This window comes from Homo sapiens, chromosome 6 (genome assembly GCF_000001405.40).
Source record: "Homo sapiens chromosome 6, GRCh38.p14 Primary Assembly".
Lineage (NCBI taxonomy): Eukaryota > Metazoa > Chordata > Mammalia > Primates > Hominidae > Homo > Homo sapiens.
Window position 1 is genome coordinate 161,954,743 of NC_000006.12, and position 14,276 is coordinate 161,969,018.

General features: G+C 40.3%; 1 protein-coding gene across 6 annotated transcripts in view; it reads right to left on the reverse strand.

Annotated features, from left to right (window-relative positions):
• Positions 1-14,276, reverse strand: part of PRKN (parkin RBR E3 ubiquitin protein ligase) — a 1,380,350-nt gene that overhangs the window by 607,326 nt on the left and 758,748 nt on the right. The window lies entirely within an intron of this gene.

The window sequence follows — 14,276 nt, forward strand, 5'->3', positions numbered from 1 at the left end:
ACTAAATTACAGTTTGTTGGTTCTGGAAAATGACTTTCAGAATTGCTTTATCTCTGTACAACCAGACTCAGCCTCTCCTTCACAGTGCAGGCCTCCTAATCACTGCCTGTTTACCATGAAGCATGTTTTCCAGTATTGGCTCAGCCAGTTTTTCTTCCTTCCTTTATCAAAATCCAATGGAAAAGAGCCAGCCCCATGGCTCAATGTGAAAGGCCAGGAGTTCACATGCACAATCTTAAATTTGGAACTAAATGTATTTCTCTTCAGACCATGAAACAATGGAGAGGAACAGGAGAGTTTGGAATGTACATGGTTTAAGCAGTCTCGGAGGAAGTCATCGTCCTGTCTCACAAAATCATTCCTGGGTCAGCCCCACCTCTTCTTCCACCTAGAGCAGGCTTTCCTGACCTCAGCATCATTGAAAGTTGGGCAAGATAACCCTTTGCTGTGGGGCTGACTCGTGCTTTGTAAGATGCTCAACAGCAGCCCTGGCATCAACACACCGGATGCCAGGAGCACCACCCTTCATTGGTGACAAATAAAATGTCTCCAGACATTGCCAAAGGTCCCCATTGGGAAAAAACTACCCCGGATGAAAGCCACTAACTTACAGCTATTTAAGGGTATTATTATATCTAGATTCTTGCCTCATGTCATATTATCAAAAAAGAAAACAGAGTTACAGAGAATATTTACTAAATTTTACATTATCATAATTATATTCATAAAAATTACATAATTGGCCTTAAAAACATTATTGTTTTCATAGGAAAAAAAATTTCAATTCAACTCGCCAAAGAAGGGTTTGTATTAAAATTTCCTTGGAGGCCGGGCACAGTGGCTCACGCCTGTGATCCCTGCACTTTGGGAGACCGAGGTGGGCGGATCACCTGAGGTCAGGAGTTTGAGACCAGCCTGATGAATATGGTGAAACCCTGTCTCTACTAAAAATACAAAATTAGCCAGGCATGGTGGCGAATGCCTGTAATCCCAGCTACTTGGGAGGCTGAGGCAGGAGAATCGCTTGAACTGGAGAGGTGGAGGTTGCAGTGAGCCAAGATCACACCATTGCACTCCAGCCTGGGCAAAAAGAGCTAAACTCTATCTCAAAAAATAAAAATAAATAAATAAAATTTCCTTGGACAGATGATATCTGGGATGTGAAAGCATGCGTGCCAGTCACAGTAAAGATTATATACTCTTTCATTATGCTTCATAGAACCATGGCTGTGGTAAGTTTGGAGAACAAAGTACAGATAAGTCAAGACCTGTTGGTTCAAGTAAAGACTTACCTACAATATCCCCCTTTCAGTTAGCAAGTCAGGGCCAAAATCTTGGCTAATATTTACTGTCCATATGTGATCAGCACTGTTCAAGTTTTATCTCTTGTAATTTTCACAACCTTTTGAAGAAGTTGAGAGACTGGGGAACTTGCCCAGGAAACAAGACAACTAGAGGTAGAACTGGGTTTTGAACACAACATTCTTTCTCCAGGGCCTGTGCTCTTGATTCCAGCCTGTTCCATGGAAAATGTTCACCAAAGGCTAACTCAGCGGGTGTCCTTGAGCACCACTGAGCCATTCAAGGGCAAATCAATCTATGCTCAGAAACAAATGGAAATGAAGACTGGAAAACAAGAAAATCAGATATGGTGAGAAACTGGGGGAGGAGAGAAAAGTCTGTGCCTTCTGCCAGTCTCAGTGCAAAATCAGTATGGCATAAAATAGCACAAATGGACAAGAAGCAAGTGAGAGAGTACAGTGCTCTCTCAGGAAAGCATTCCACTGTATTTATGGAAAAATAAACTCTCTCAATTAAGCCAAATTTTCAAGATAAAAGGATAGTTCCATCCATCTATAATTTAGTAAGGGATACAACAATAAATGTTCTGAAATTTATTCTTTAATTTCCTGAATTAAAATCTCTCTCCATATGGACTAGGAGTTGCAAAAACATATACATATATATGCAATTATATATATAATTCCAGAAAACCAGATTAGAGTTGAACAGTGACACCTATGTAAAAACCAATGTGTGTGATGGAGTCATCCTATTTCGTGCATTTTAGCATTTTCCTAGGATACTGTTCTATATAAATTCTGTAATAGAGTTATATATAATATAATTACTGTAGCTATTAGTGATTTGAAAGGCCACTTTCTTGGAAAATTTCAACTTAGTGTTGTCACCGGCATTCCTGGTCATTTTCTTTGTGCATCCTGTACACGTGTGCAGGTGTACTGGACTCTGTGGTCATGGGAACCTCCGAGTCTTCAGACACCCGCTGGAAGACCAGCCATCATCACTCAAGTCTGCAGCCAGCTGCCCAATACAGAATGGAGTGAGATGGCACCTTCCTTACTGTCATACGTGTAAAGTCTTGCAGTAGGAGAGGATCTGAGAGGGAGCAGCAATTCCAGGGGAAACTGTTCATTGATAATAACATCTGAATGACATTTGACAGTTTCCTAAGCACTGTCACGTGAATGTTGTTTCTGAACTATCACCACAACCTTGATACTCCTTTTAAGTAGGTACCATCAACATCATATGACAGAGAGGTAGCTGAGGGTAAGGGTAAATGACTAGTTCAAGTTTATATGGCAAGCAATCAACTGCAGATGCAAATCCATGTCTGTTTTTATTTTTTTGTTGTTCTTGTTGTTTTTTTTTTGTTTGTTTGTTTGTTTGTTTTTTTGAGCCAGAGTCTCACTCTGTCATCAGGCTGAAGTGCAGTGGCACAATGTTGGCTAACTGCAACCTCCACCTCCTGCGTTCAAGCGATCCTCCTGCCTCAGCCTCCCTAGTAGCTGGGATTACAAGTGTGCGCCACCACGCTCAGCTAATTTCTGTATTTTTAGTAGAGACGAGGTTTCACCATGTTGGCCAAGATGGTCTCAATCTCCTGACCTTGTGATCCACCCGCCTCGGCCTCCCAAAATGCTGGGATTACAGGCGTGAGTCACCGCGCCCAGCCCATGTCTTCTCTTGATTTTGTTTGCTTTCTGTTCCACCATGCCATGTTTCTGACAGTATCGCTAGACACCACTCCAGACCACCAGCAAAGAAAGCAGAGGGCTTGCGCTCAGGGGGCAGGTCCTGAGGAGTCTCCTGAAGTCCTCCCGTGCAGGTCAAGGCTTTCATTAACTACGCGGATCAATTTAACCATCTCTCTTGTAGAGGAGTACTTTAAAACCTAGTCAATGAGTGCTAATCACAGAAATCATTTCAGATTAATCTTAGAAATAATCATTAAATAAATGTAATACCCTTTAAAAAGGGGCATAAAAACAGATTCAAGTTAAGAAAGTCTAGTTGACAACAAAATGCAATTCCACATCCCAGAAGCTTACTGAATTGCATTAAGCTTAGGATGCTAATATTGGATGTCATGTCTCTATATGGTTAAAATGCACAAAGAGATAAAGACGCTTGCATTTATTTTAAAAACTTATTATAATACTTGGGTAATTTATCAGTGACGTTGTTTATTTGTACTGTGGTTAAATTTTTAGCGCAATAATTGTATTTCTTAAAAGACACGCTAAATTGTTCCTCTCTTCTTATGCCTGGGAAACCATATGAAGATTCAGTAGGAAACTAAATTTTGAAGTTTATTCCCTAACTTTTCTTTAAGATACATTTTGACTATTTGAATGTTTTATGTTGTTGCTATTTTTAAGGGAATCATTTATATCAGATATAATGAGAGAAATTTAAAGTAATTTCTACATCAAATCAATATTATGGTATTTGTAAAAAATAATAATAATAATTAAAACTCTGTTTTTTCTTTGCAGTTGTTTTCATTGTAATATGATACCTGAATTTTATGTAAGAATGTGAGAGTGGGCCAGGTGCAGTGGCTCACACCTGTAATCTCAGCAATTTGGGAGGCCAAGACAGGTGGATCACCTGAGGTCAGGAGTTTCAGACCAGCCTGGCCAACATGGCAAAACCCCATCTCTACTAAAAATACAAAAAATTAGCTGGGCGTGGTGGTGGGTATCTGTAATCCCAGCTACTTGGGAGGCTGAGGCAGAAGAATTGCTTGCACCCAGGAGGTGGAGGTTGCAGTGAGCTGAGATCATGCCATTGACCTCTGAACTGGGCAACAAGAGTGAAACTCCATCTCAAAAAAAAAAAAATGAGAGAGAAAAAAGAAAAGAATGTGAGAGTGGTTAGTTTATAATATAGTTAACATAGTTGAATCTGACTGTTTTTTGCTTTCAAAACATGTATTATTCCACTAAGTGGTATCAGTTCCCTTTGCATTACAGCAGTCACTGGAATAAGTTAAATATTGTTATTTTTGTTATTTCTTGTCCAAAAAATACACACTGTACACTTTCTCTTCTAATACTGTCCTAAACAACTTTTCGCAGGATTCACTGGTTATTCTCCTGCCTGTTGCCCAAGGGCTGTAGAAGATACAGAGAGAAGTACCACCCAGATCCCGTTTCAAATAAGTATTTGCTGCTCAGATGTGAGGCGTGTGGCCAGGGATGGCCTCTGCTGTCAGCATCGGCACCTGTCCCTGGCAGCCGCACCGAGAGGCTGAGCGAGCTGGGGATCTAGCGGTTTTCCCTTTGCAGGCCTCGGTTCCGACGGATAAGATAAACTCACACCAACTTCTGCCTCAATTTCTGCCTCTGGAGAAGTCCGCCCATAACAGTCTCCTGCCACAGCCTCTGCAGCAGCCACATATAAGAGGTTAAACTCTACTAACATTTCCAAAGCAATCCTTTTAGAGAAGTCTTATCTTTCCCAAATACTTTTCTGTCACCAATGCCCAATTTCTTCCAAAACTACTTCTTATACAATTACGTGTCCACACTATTCCTCCCATTAATATTAAAATATATTTGCTTGTAGCAACATGGTCCCTCCTAACTCAAAATATTTCCTCTGAGGTGATACTCAGGGTTAGATACTCCCAAATGAATAAATGCCTCGTTTCTAAAAATAACTATTTATGACATATATTTCCCGAGAACAGGATTATTAATAATCATAAGTGATTTAGATTTGTGTACAGATCTAAAATTTTCAAAGTGTGTTCACAGAAATTAACTTATTTGATCCTACCACCACCTCAGGAATTAACCAAATTTAGGAAATTAAAGTCACAGTGATTGATCTGCCCCCAGTCAGACAATGAAATCGGTGGTGGGTTCAGGAGGGAAAGCTGTTCTTATGACCTCCATCCTGGAGTCATCTGCTTTCTGTGTTACAACCTGCACACCTACAGACCTTCTGCAAAGTAGAATGTGCTCCCTGGGGGATTGGGGTATATGATCCTAAACTCCAGGGCTTCAGAATCTGTAACTTGGATGTTGCCATTTGAAGCTGAAATGGAAAGGGAGGGCTGTGCTAACTTGGCTCCCCGCTTTGGTGCCACCACACTGGAAAAAAAACATGGTTCCAAGTGCTTACTGCATGGACTCACTTCATCCTTACAATAACTGCAAGAACAAGAAGATGCTCTTATTATCTAGAAGGACAGAGGCAAAAGATGGCAGAGCCAGGTTCTGTACACACAGTCTGGCTTCAAAGGCAGGGCTCTGAACCACTGTGCTTCATGTGTATCTTGGGAATTGGAAAGACGGCTGGAGACAAACGCAAAAGACATCCAAATCTTAGCAGTGAGTAAAGAATGAAAATGAAAGGGAAGGCAGAAGCAGAAACTTCTTTAGCTGTTGGGGATAAATCACGCGATAAGAATTTAAGAATTCAGGGGATGATTTAAGATCACCTACATAGTCACACATGTCTATAAATAACTCTTGGATTAATGGTCTATGTATACTTCCATATTTATAAGAATAATGCAAATCAGAAGAGCCTTCACCAGACGAGGCCATTTGAAAGAGATGGGTTTTAAGCAAACTGGGAAGGTGATGTGGAGTGACGATTAGTTACTATTAGCAAAAGGGTCAGTGCTGCAATGATGTAGGACTGCAGCTTGCTGGGGACAGAAAGTCAATCTGTCTTGCTTTGTTAGAACAAGAAATGAAAGTCAGTCTGTGGATTTAAGAACAGCAATACCAACTCCTCACCTACATGGTAGACAGCTTGCTTTTCCAATTGCAGTTTAGGAACAAAGGGAAGGAGAATTCACTTTGTCACAGAATTTTCACTAATGAATATAGACACCAATGCAGGAATATGTGTTATATTTGTGTGTAACCCTAATCACTATTACCTATGCTACCTCTCCTGAACCCCAGTGGCTGTGGCACTGTAAAATGGGTATAAATAACATTCAAAATGTTAAGATAAACATACATGCAAAATATCTAACAAATGGTAAGAACAACTTGTTAGCAATAGTTGGACCTTCTCCAGCCTTGTGGAATATATACTGATGTCACATTATCCTGACGTACACATGTGTCTGGACTGAGCGCACAAGAAAACAGTCCTGTGCAGTCTGGAACACCACAAAGTCACTTTTGTTCCGGCTCAGAGAAGGAATCTAATGTGGAGACCTGCAATGATAGCAACAGGTGTTCAAGTTTGACTTTGTGGTCACGGTCTGGTCATTTCCAGGGTAATATGCAAGGAGGAGGTACTTCAGCAGAAACGGAAGCTACGTGGGATGGCTTGGGGTTAGGCAGGTAATGTACGTATCTAGCCGGTTGGGTGTAAAAGAAAAGGGAGTGGGAAAACTGGTGCATGCTCTGCTCAAACACATAGCAAATGATTCTATGTATTTCTTCAAAGTTCTGTCTTGGCCAAGTATTATAAAAGAATCTTGGGGAAAACTTAGCCTAAAGAAATAAAGTTTGGGTCCCTGTTCTACCACGATACAGTGAAAATGAACAAGAGGTGTTCACACCTTCTGCCTTGCTTGAACTAGCCCGGTTCCGTCACACCTTCACCTGCTAGAGAGTGTCCCCGTCGACGGCTTTCCCTGCCATCGACAGAAATGCATCAGGCTTGATCAGAAACGCAAGGTTTTATCTCAGCTTGAAGCACCTGGAATAGTTTCTTGAGCCACGGATGAACTCAGTAAATATCTGTTGAATGAACAGACTAATCTCCTTTTACCTTATCTTTGATGGTAGAAGAGGTATTAAAGATCTCAAATGCCTGCATGAGACTGCGTTGCCTGTGATACTGATATAATAGAATGCTGGTATATCTGTGTAGCCCAGTGCCTCTCAGTGTTGTGAAAATCCACATCGAGATCTAGAAACTCTTGAAATTCCACTTCCGGTGCACAGAAGATACAGCACATGAGGTCATGTTTCCTGTGATGCAGAATGTGTCAAATTCACAAGGAACAGAATGAACACACCACGGCCCTTGCTGCGATAAATGAATTTGCACTCCGGGTGTCTGAAACTATTGCTTATTTTGTCACAAATAGCTCTACAGGCTTTGAAAGCTACAAAGGACAACTTTGCAAATACTTAATTCTAAATGTCATGAGAAAATAGAGCTACATAAAGGATGTTTATAGAGGGCAAGGTAGATCATATTAGTGCTAATCACTAAAAAGTGTCCCAGCAGTTTAAAATTTCTATCTGAAGATATGAACTGGCACAAACATTATTTGCAATGAAAAGTAACTTCTTCCCCTCACCTAGTTTATAGCAAATTGCTAATTATAAGGATAAAATTGCCATTAGAAATAAATGCACAAGTAATGCAATAGTTTTCTTTAAAAAAAAAAGTTATTTAAACACTGTGGGTATTTCTTTCAGATGAAAATGGACCTTAAACACAAAGCTTAACTGTTAACAAAGTTCTAGCAAGGGTCTCTTAGATGCTTCAGGAATGTAGCACCTTTTTTTTTTTTTTTTTTGAGACGGAGTCTCGCTCTGTCATCCAGGCTGGCAGTGGCACAATCTCGGCTCACTGCAACCTCCACCTCCCAGGTTCAAGTGATTCTCCTAACTCAGCCTCCTGAGTAGCTGGGATTACAGGTGCACACCACCATGCCTGGCTAATTTTTGTATTTTTAGTAGAGACGGGGGTTTGCCATGTTTGTCAGGCTGGTCTTGAACTCCTGACCTCGTGATCCACCTGCTTCGGCCTCCCAAAGTGCTGGGATTACAGGCATGAGCCACCTCACCCGGCCGCTCCATCTTTCTTAATATCCACCAACAGGCCAGGCATGGTGGCTCACACCTGTAATCCCAGCAATTTGGGAGGCTGAGGCCGGTGGATCACCTGAGGTCAGGAGTTCGAGACAAGACTGGCCAACATGGCGAAACCCCGTCTCTACTAAAAATATAAACTTAGTGGGCATGGTGGCATATGCCTTTAATCCCAGCTACTCAGGAGGCTGAGGCAGGAGAATCGCTTGAACCCAGGAGGCGGAAGTTGCAGTGAGCCAAGATTGAGCCATTGCACCCCAGCCTGGGTGACAAGAGCGAAATTCCAAACTCTGTCTCAAAACAAAAACAAACAAACAAACAAACAAAAAACACCCACCAACAGAAAATGAAGTGCTTAAGATCCAGACAGTTACAACACGCAAGGTTGACCCTAACGGATACAAAATTGGTCCAGGATTTGCAATATTGCCCTGCTCTTCCCAGCGGGGGTTGCTGCGCACCTGCGGTGACAGTTAAATGAAAAGGTAAGGCATAAGAATTTCATGCACAAGCACCTGTGACATCTCTAGGAAGCTCTGCTGACGCAGCTGCTCACATCTGAAGCCCACAGGTTCACCACGGGAGAAATGAAGGTCACTGGCTGACATTAAAACTGAATGGTTCACATTTCAAAGTACCAGTGGGGATAAAATATTTCTTCTATGCTTTCGTAAGTAACTGACCCCAGATAATATGGCAGCATAATCTATATCCTGTGACTTGGACTTCAAAATTGGACATTTCCCCTTATTTCTAACACCTCCTTAAAAATCTCCATTGATTTCTGACTAATTCATTGTTTTATCTGAGTTAAATAATTAACTCAATTAGTCTATTAAATTCAGAAGGGATTTTTAAAAGGAGATTGTTTCATGTGAAAATAGTTTGCTTTCTGTTTGTTGCACTGCATGAAACAGATTTTCCTTTAAGTCAGCATTTATTTAAACCTCTTTGATGCAAAGTCTTGTGCTGGCCACGGTAGGGAGGACCAGTCACACTGGCATGTCAGTCAATTTGGGTCTTGCCCTGCAAGCAGCCTGCAATTTTGCAGAGCAGCAGACTTGGAGGCAGCTCTGTATTTTTCTACTCTTACTGGTTTTTAAAGACAGACACACAGGACAACAGCGAGTTCAACTTTTTCTTTTCTCTGAATCTCACTTTACTGCTACATTCTCCTTTTCACATGCAAATCCACCTTCCGGCCTCACCAGATAGCCTTGCTTTTCGCTGTACAGAGAAAGCCAGGACCATGCAGGTTGGAGGGTAAGGTGTAATGAAAGAATAGCAATGCAAGCCATGTAGACTTTGGTTTGTAGATTGGTTTAACCACTTCCTTGTGGTGTGATCAGATGTAATTTTTTTAATGTGATAGATTCAATTTCTTCATTTATAAGATGGAAGCCCTAATTATTTTAAATCAATGTAGCTAAAAAATTACAGGTCATTAAGCACTGCATCTGAATCTCAAAGGGAGCATGGTGATCACCTGTTATTGAAGGCTTTATGCAAAGATTCTTTCTGGAAGGGTTTATAGCAGCTCTCCCTCAAGACTGGATTAGATGAGGGTGTGTCACACTTTTCAGAAAAGAATCACTCCTGGCATAAGGAGATAGAATTTACTCCTATGGGGCCTGGGGCACAGTGTGAAGTAGCCTGCTTCAAGCTAGAAGATATATCTTTGAAGTTTTCTCTTTCATCTTAAAAAGTTGTAAGATTTTCCATTCGACTCTAGAACATACCCTTGTTTATTATAATATAAACATATTTGGGTCTACTGGGAGAAATATATAGCTCTGTGTGCACAAACACTGGTGCTACAACACATAAAAATCTTCCAACAATTTCCATGACAGAAAGAAAACCACTTACTGTGAAAGGCTATGTTAAAGATTCCAGTTTAACTTTTTGTACGTATACCTGAGTTTCTCACCATGCTCCTCAGAGTCTGATGACTGGATAAACTATCAGATCCCATCTGATCCCTAAATTTTAAGAAAATCTTAAGTTGATGGAAAGTAGCTATTGGTAATGTCAAAAATCAGACTGACAAAGAACTTACACAGTAATTCTAAGTCACAACAGAATGCCAGCTATAGCCAGAATTAATATGTGAATTGACAAAAGAAGCTTAAGACATAACAAATGCATTCAAAGGGAATTGTAACTAAGATCTCCATTCCCTATCTCTCTTTGTTCAATGAATGAATGAAAGCATACCAAAATCCAGTCAAATTATCTTTAAGTCATTCTCCCCCAGGAACACCTGGAGAAAGTACAAATGGACTTTGAGATAAATCTTTGCTAATCCCCAGGCCCAAGTAAATCTTTTAAGTCTGCAATCCATTGTGGCATTGCTTCAATAAGCCGAATGAATTTTATTTTAGGACAAATTTGAAGGCAATTATGAAACCATTTATATCAAACAACAATGACATCAAAAACATAAGTCTTTATTGGAAGGGTTGAGGGAAATAACATGGTAGAACAGATTTTTAAATTTAATGCCCAACAGGGACCTGGGTTTTCAAACATGTGTCTCGAAGGTTAATTTCCGACTAAGCAAATCGGGCTATTTTTCGGTCTGCTTCAGCTTTGGAAACTAAGGAATAATGATTAAAGGTGAGATAACATACAGAGATTCACTAGCTGCCTTCTATCGATGAAAAGAGTCAAACTCTGTAAAATATTTAAAGAGATTTATTTTGAGCCAAATATGAGTGACAATGGTCCATGACACAGCCCTCAGGAGGTCCTGAGAACATACCCAAGGTGGCTGGGGCACAGCTTGGTTTTATACATGTTAAGGAGGCATGAGACATCAATCAAACACATTTAAGAAATACATTAGTTTGGTCGAGAAAGGTGGGACAACTCAAAGCTGGGGGCTTCCAGCCTATAGGTAAATTTAAACACTTCCCTGGTTGACATTTGGTTGAGTTTGTCTAAAGACCTGGGAGGGATAGAAAGGGAATGTTCAGGTTAAGACAAAAGACTGTGGAGACCAAGGTTCTTCTGAGGTCTTATAATGGCTACCCTTAGAGACAATAGAGGACAAATGTCTCCTATTCAGATCTTTAAAAAGTGCTAGATTTTTAGTTAATCTCTTTAGGATTGGGAGGGCCTGGAAGAAAAATATCTAGCTATGTTATCTAGATAGAAAAATATCTAGCTAGCTATAAACAGATGCAAATTTTCCCCCACAAAGGACAGCTTTGTAGGGCCATTTCAAGATACAGCAAAGAAACATGTTTTGGGCTAAAATATTTTGTTTTTCTTCCTTGTCTCATAATGTTATCCCGAAGTCAGTTTGGAAAGTAGTCACAATAAATAGGGTTAAATAAAACCTATCTGATGAGAATATACGAATTGTAGGGCATGACTCCCCAGACTCCTTAGATAGAAATTTGGGTATGATAAAAAAAATCAGAGTTTAGTCCTCAATATCTTGATAAGGATTTTTCTATTTTGTATGTTTTCAATTTTTACCCTTTAAAAAATTTAGAAAACTGGCACTGTAAAGGGAGATTGAAGGAGCAGAAATATCAATTTCGTTTGGGAGACACTGACAGAGGGTGAGCCCCAAGACACACATGCTGGCTAGGGAAAGAATTCCGGTATCCCTTTGGCTTACCTGTGCCATTTTTATATGACTTAGGCACCCAAAAAAGTCCTGAACCTTCTGTTGTAACTTCTATTGGAAAGACTAAACAAGGCAGCTATTTTGCCTTCAAGTGCTAGACTTACTGTGCTTAATCCAGTTCTTGCTTTTTGTTCAGCTTGTTATGCTTATATTCATAAACCTCAAACTATCAACTGACAACCCTGAAGGGTGAAGAGCAAGTCACTACTGTTGGTAAGGAGAGGAGAACACAAGGCTTGATGGCCAGAAGGGAACCTGCAGCTTCACAAAAAACCTCAGGACATTCTGGTTCCCAGATAGTTCACTTTTTCCCTTAAGAAAGAGTAAAATATTTTGTTTGTTTGTTTGTTTGTTTTGAGACGGAGTCTCGCTTTGTTGCCCAGGCTAGAGTGCAGTGGCACGATCTTGGCTCACCACAACCTCTGCCTCCTGGATTCAAGCGATTCTCCTGCCTCAGCCTCCCAAGTAGGTGGGACTACAGGTGCACACCACCACTCCCAGCTAATTTTTGTATTTTTAGTAGAGATGGGGTTTCACTATGTTGGCCAGGCTGGTCTCGAACTCCTGACCTCGTGATCTGCCCACCTCAGCCTCCCAAGGTGCTGGGATTACAGGCGTGAGCCACTGCGCCCGGCCTAAGAAAGAGTAAAATATTTTATGTCAAATGTAAACTCAAAGGACACAAATCATGTACCTGAATTAAACTGTAAACCTAAAATCTGGCCATGAGTCACACATGTCTCTTATACATCGGCCTACATGTTACAACATATATGTGATTTGGTAGGCGCATCATTGCAGACTTCATCTTTGATTTCTGCATTTGTCAACAGACAGAACTAAATACAAGTATTTTTGCAACTGTCTCAATCAATTTATAAGCTATGAAGAAGTCTTATTCCTCCCTCCTGCAGTCCTTAGAACCAGTCAGAGCCTTGGAGATGACCTACTTAAAATCCTGGATTTTACACGGAAACCAAAGGCCAAAGAAATTGTGGTATTCTCTTAAGGTCAAAAAGTTAGCTTTGTGGCATTAGAGCACTTGAATTATTATTAAAAAGGTAAATGAAAGAGTTATCAGTCTCTTACTATATAGAAGTATATTTGTAAAGCACAAAAACATAAAATTCTTACTTTCATTAGTACTGACAACCGAAATGAGTGACTGAGGCAGAAGGCTCCGTCATCAAGGTCTATTATTCCAGCTTGAGAGCATGCCTGGGAAAAACCCAAGTCACAGCTACCTTTGTGGCTGCTTTTTCCCTAAGAGGTTCTCAGGAGATTTAGCATTTATGCATTTTCCTTAAAAGGGGGAGGCAATGAGACATACTTGTGATGATTATATACTTGTGAGCCTTTAGATAGTGCCCAGTAAACCTACATTTTACATAAGATAAGGTGAACATTTAAAGAAAATCAGAATAGAGGAAACAGCTGTCTCAGGGAGGGTGAAGGACTGATTTATCTTATCTTGCCTTTATTCTGTACCTGGGAAGATATAAGCCAGTGATGGACATTATCAGTGTGGGGCCTTTTTTTTCTTTTGAGACACAGTTTCACTCTGTCACCCAGGCTGGAGTGCAGTGGTGTGATCACGCCTCAGTGCAACTTCCGCCTCCCGGGTTCAAGCGATTATCCTGCCTCAGCCTCCCGAGTAGCTGGGATTACAGGCGCGCGCCACCATGCCTGGCTAATTTTTTTTTTTTTTTTTTTTTTGTATTATTAGTAGAGATGGGATTTCCCCATGTTGGCCATGGCTGCTCTCAAACTCCTGGCCTCAAGTGATCTGCACACCTCAGCCTCCCAAAGTGCTGGGATTACAGGCGTGACTCACCATGCCCAGCCTCAGTGTAGAGTCTTTTCGAAGGCCTGGTTTCTGTTTAGCCCTTAGGGAAGGAAGCCTAGAGGTGGTTAGTGAGGGTGGGGACATGACAGGCCTGTCTGACCTCCCACCCCATCATGGCTGGAACTCAGCTTCCAAGGTGTCTCCACGGTCCCCTTGACAAGGAGGGATTCTGTTCAGTCAGTTGGAGGCTTACAATTTTATTTTTATTTCTCAGTATAAGGAGTACGCAGAAACTATATTTACAGATAAATTAATACTATCCTCCGATTTTCATCTATTATGTGGTTAATTATGTCTAATTTGATTAATGATGTATGATTAATACATATATATACACATAAGTAAAACAATTATAAGAATAAAAAATAGATTTAAAACACCCTTTTATTTTTAAGTCTGTAATTATGAATTTGATTTATCTCCAGGAAAATATAATATTTTAAAATAAAGACCAAAGCAACATATTTAAACATAAATTCAAAAGACAGTAAACTGTATATTTATAAAGGACACCGTGATATTATGAATAGTGAATGAGAAAGCAATTGCTGAAACCAGATCTGTTTTGTAGACTTTTTGTATAGCTTTCATATGGAGAAAGTTTCACATTGTTCTCTCACAATAAAAATGCAAATAAGCCAGTGAGAAATTCTTGTATTCATAAATAACAAAATAATAA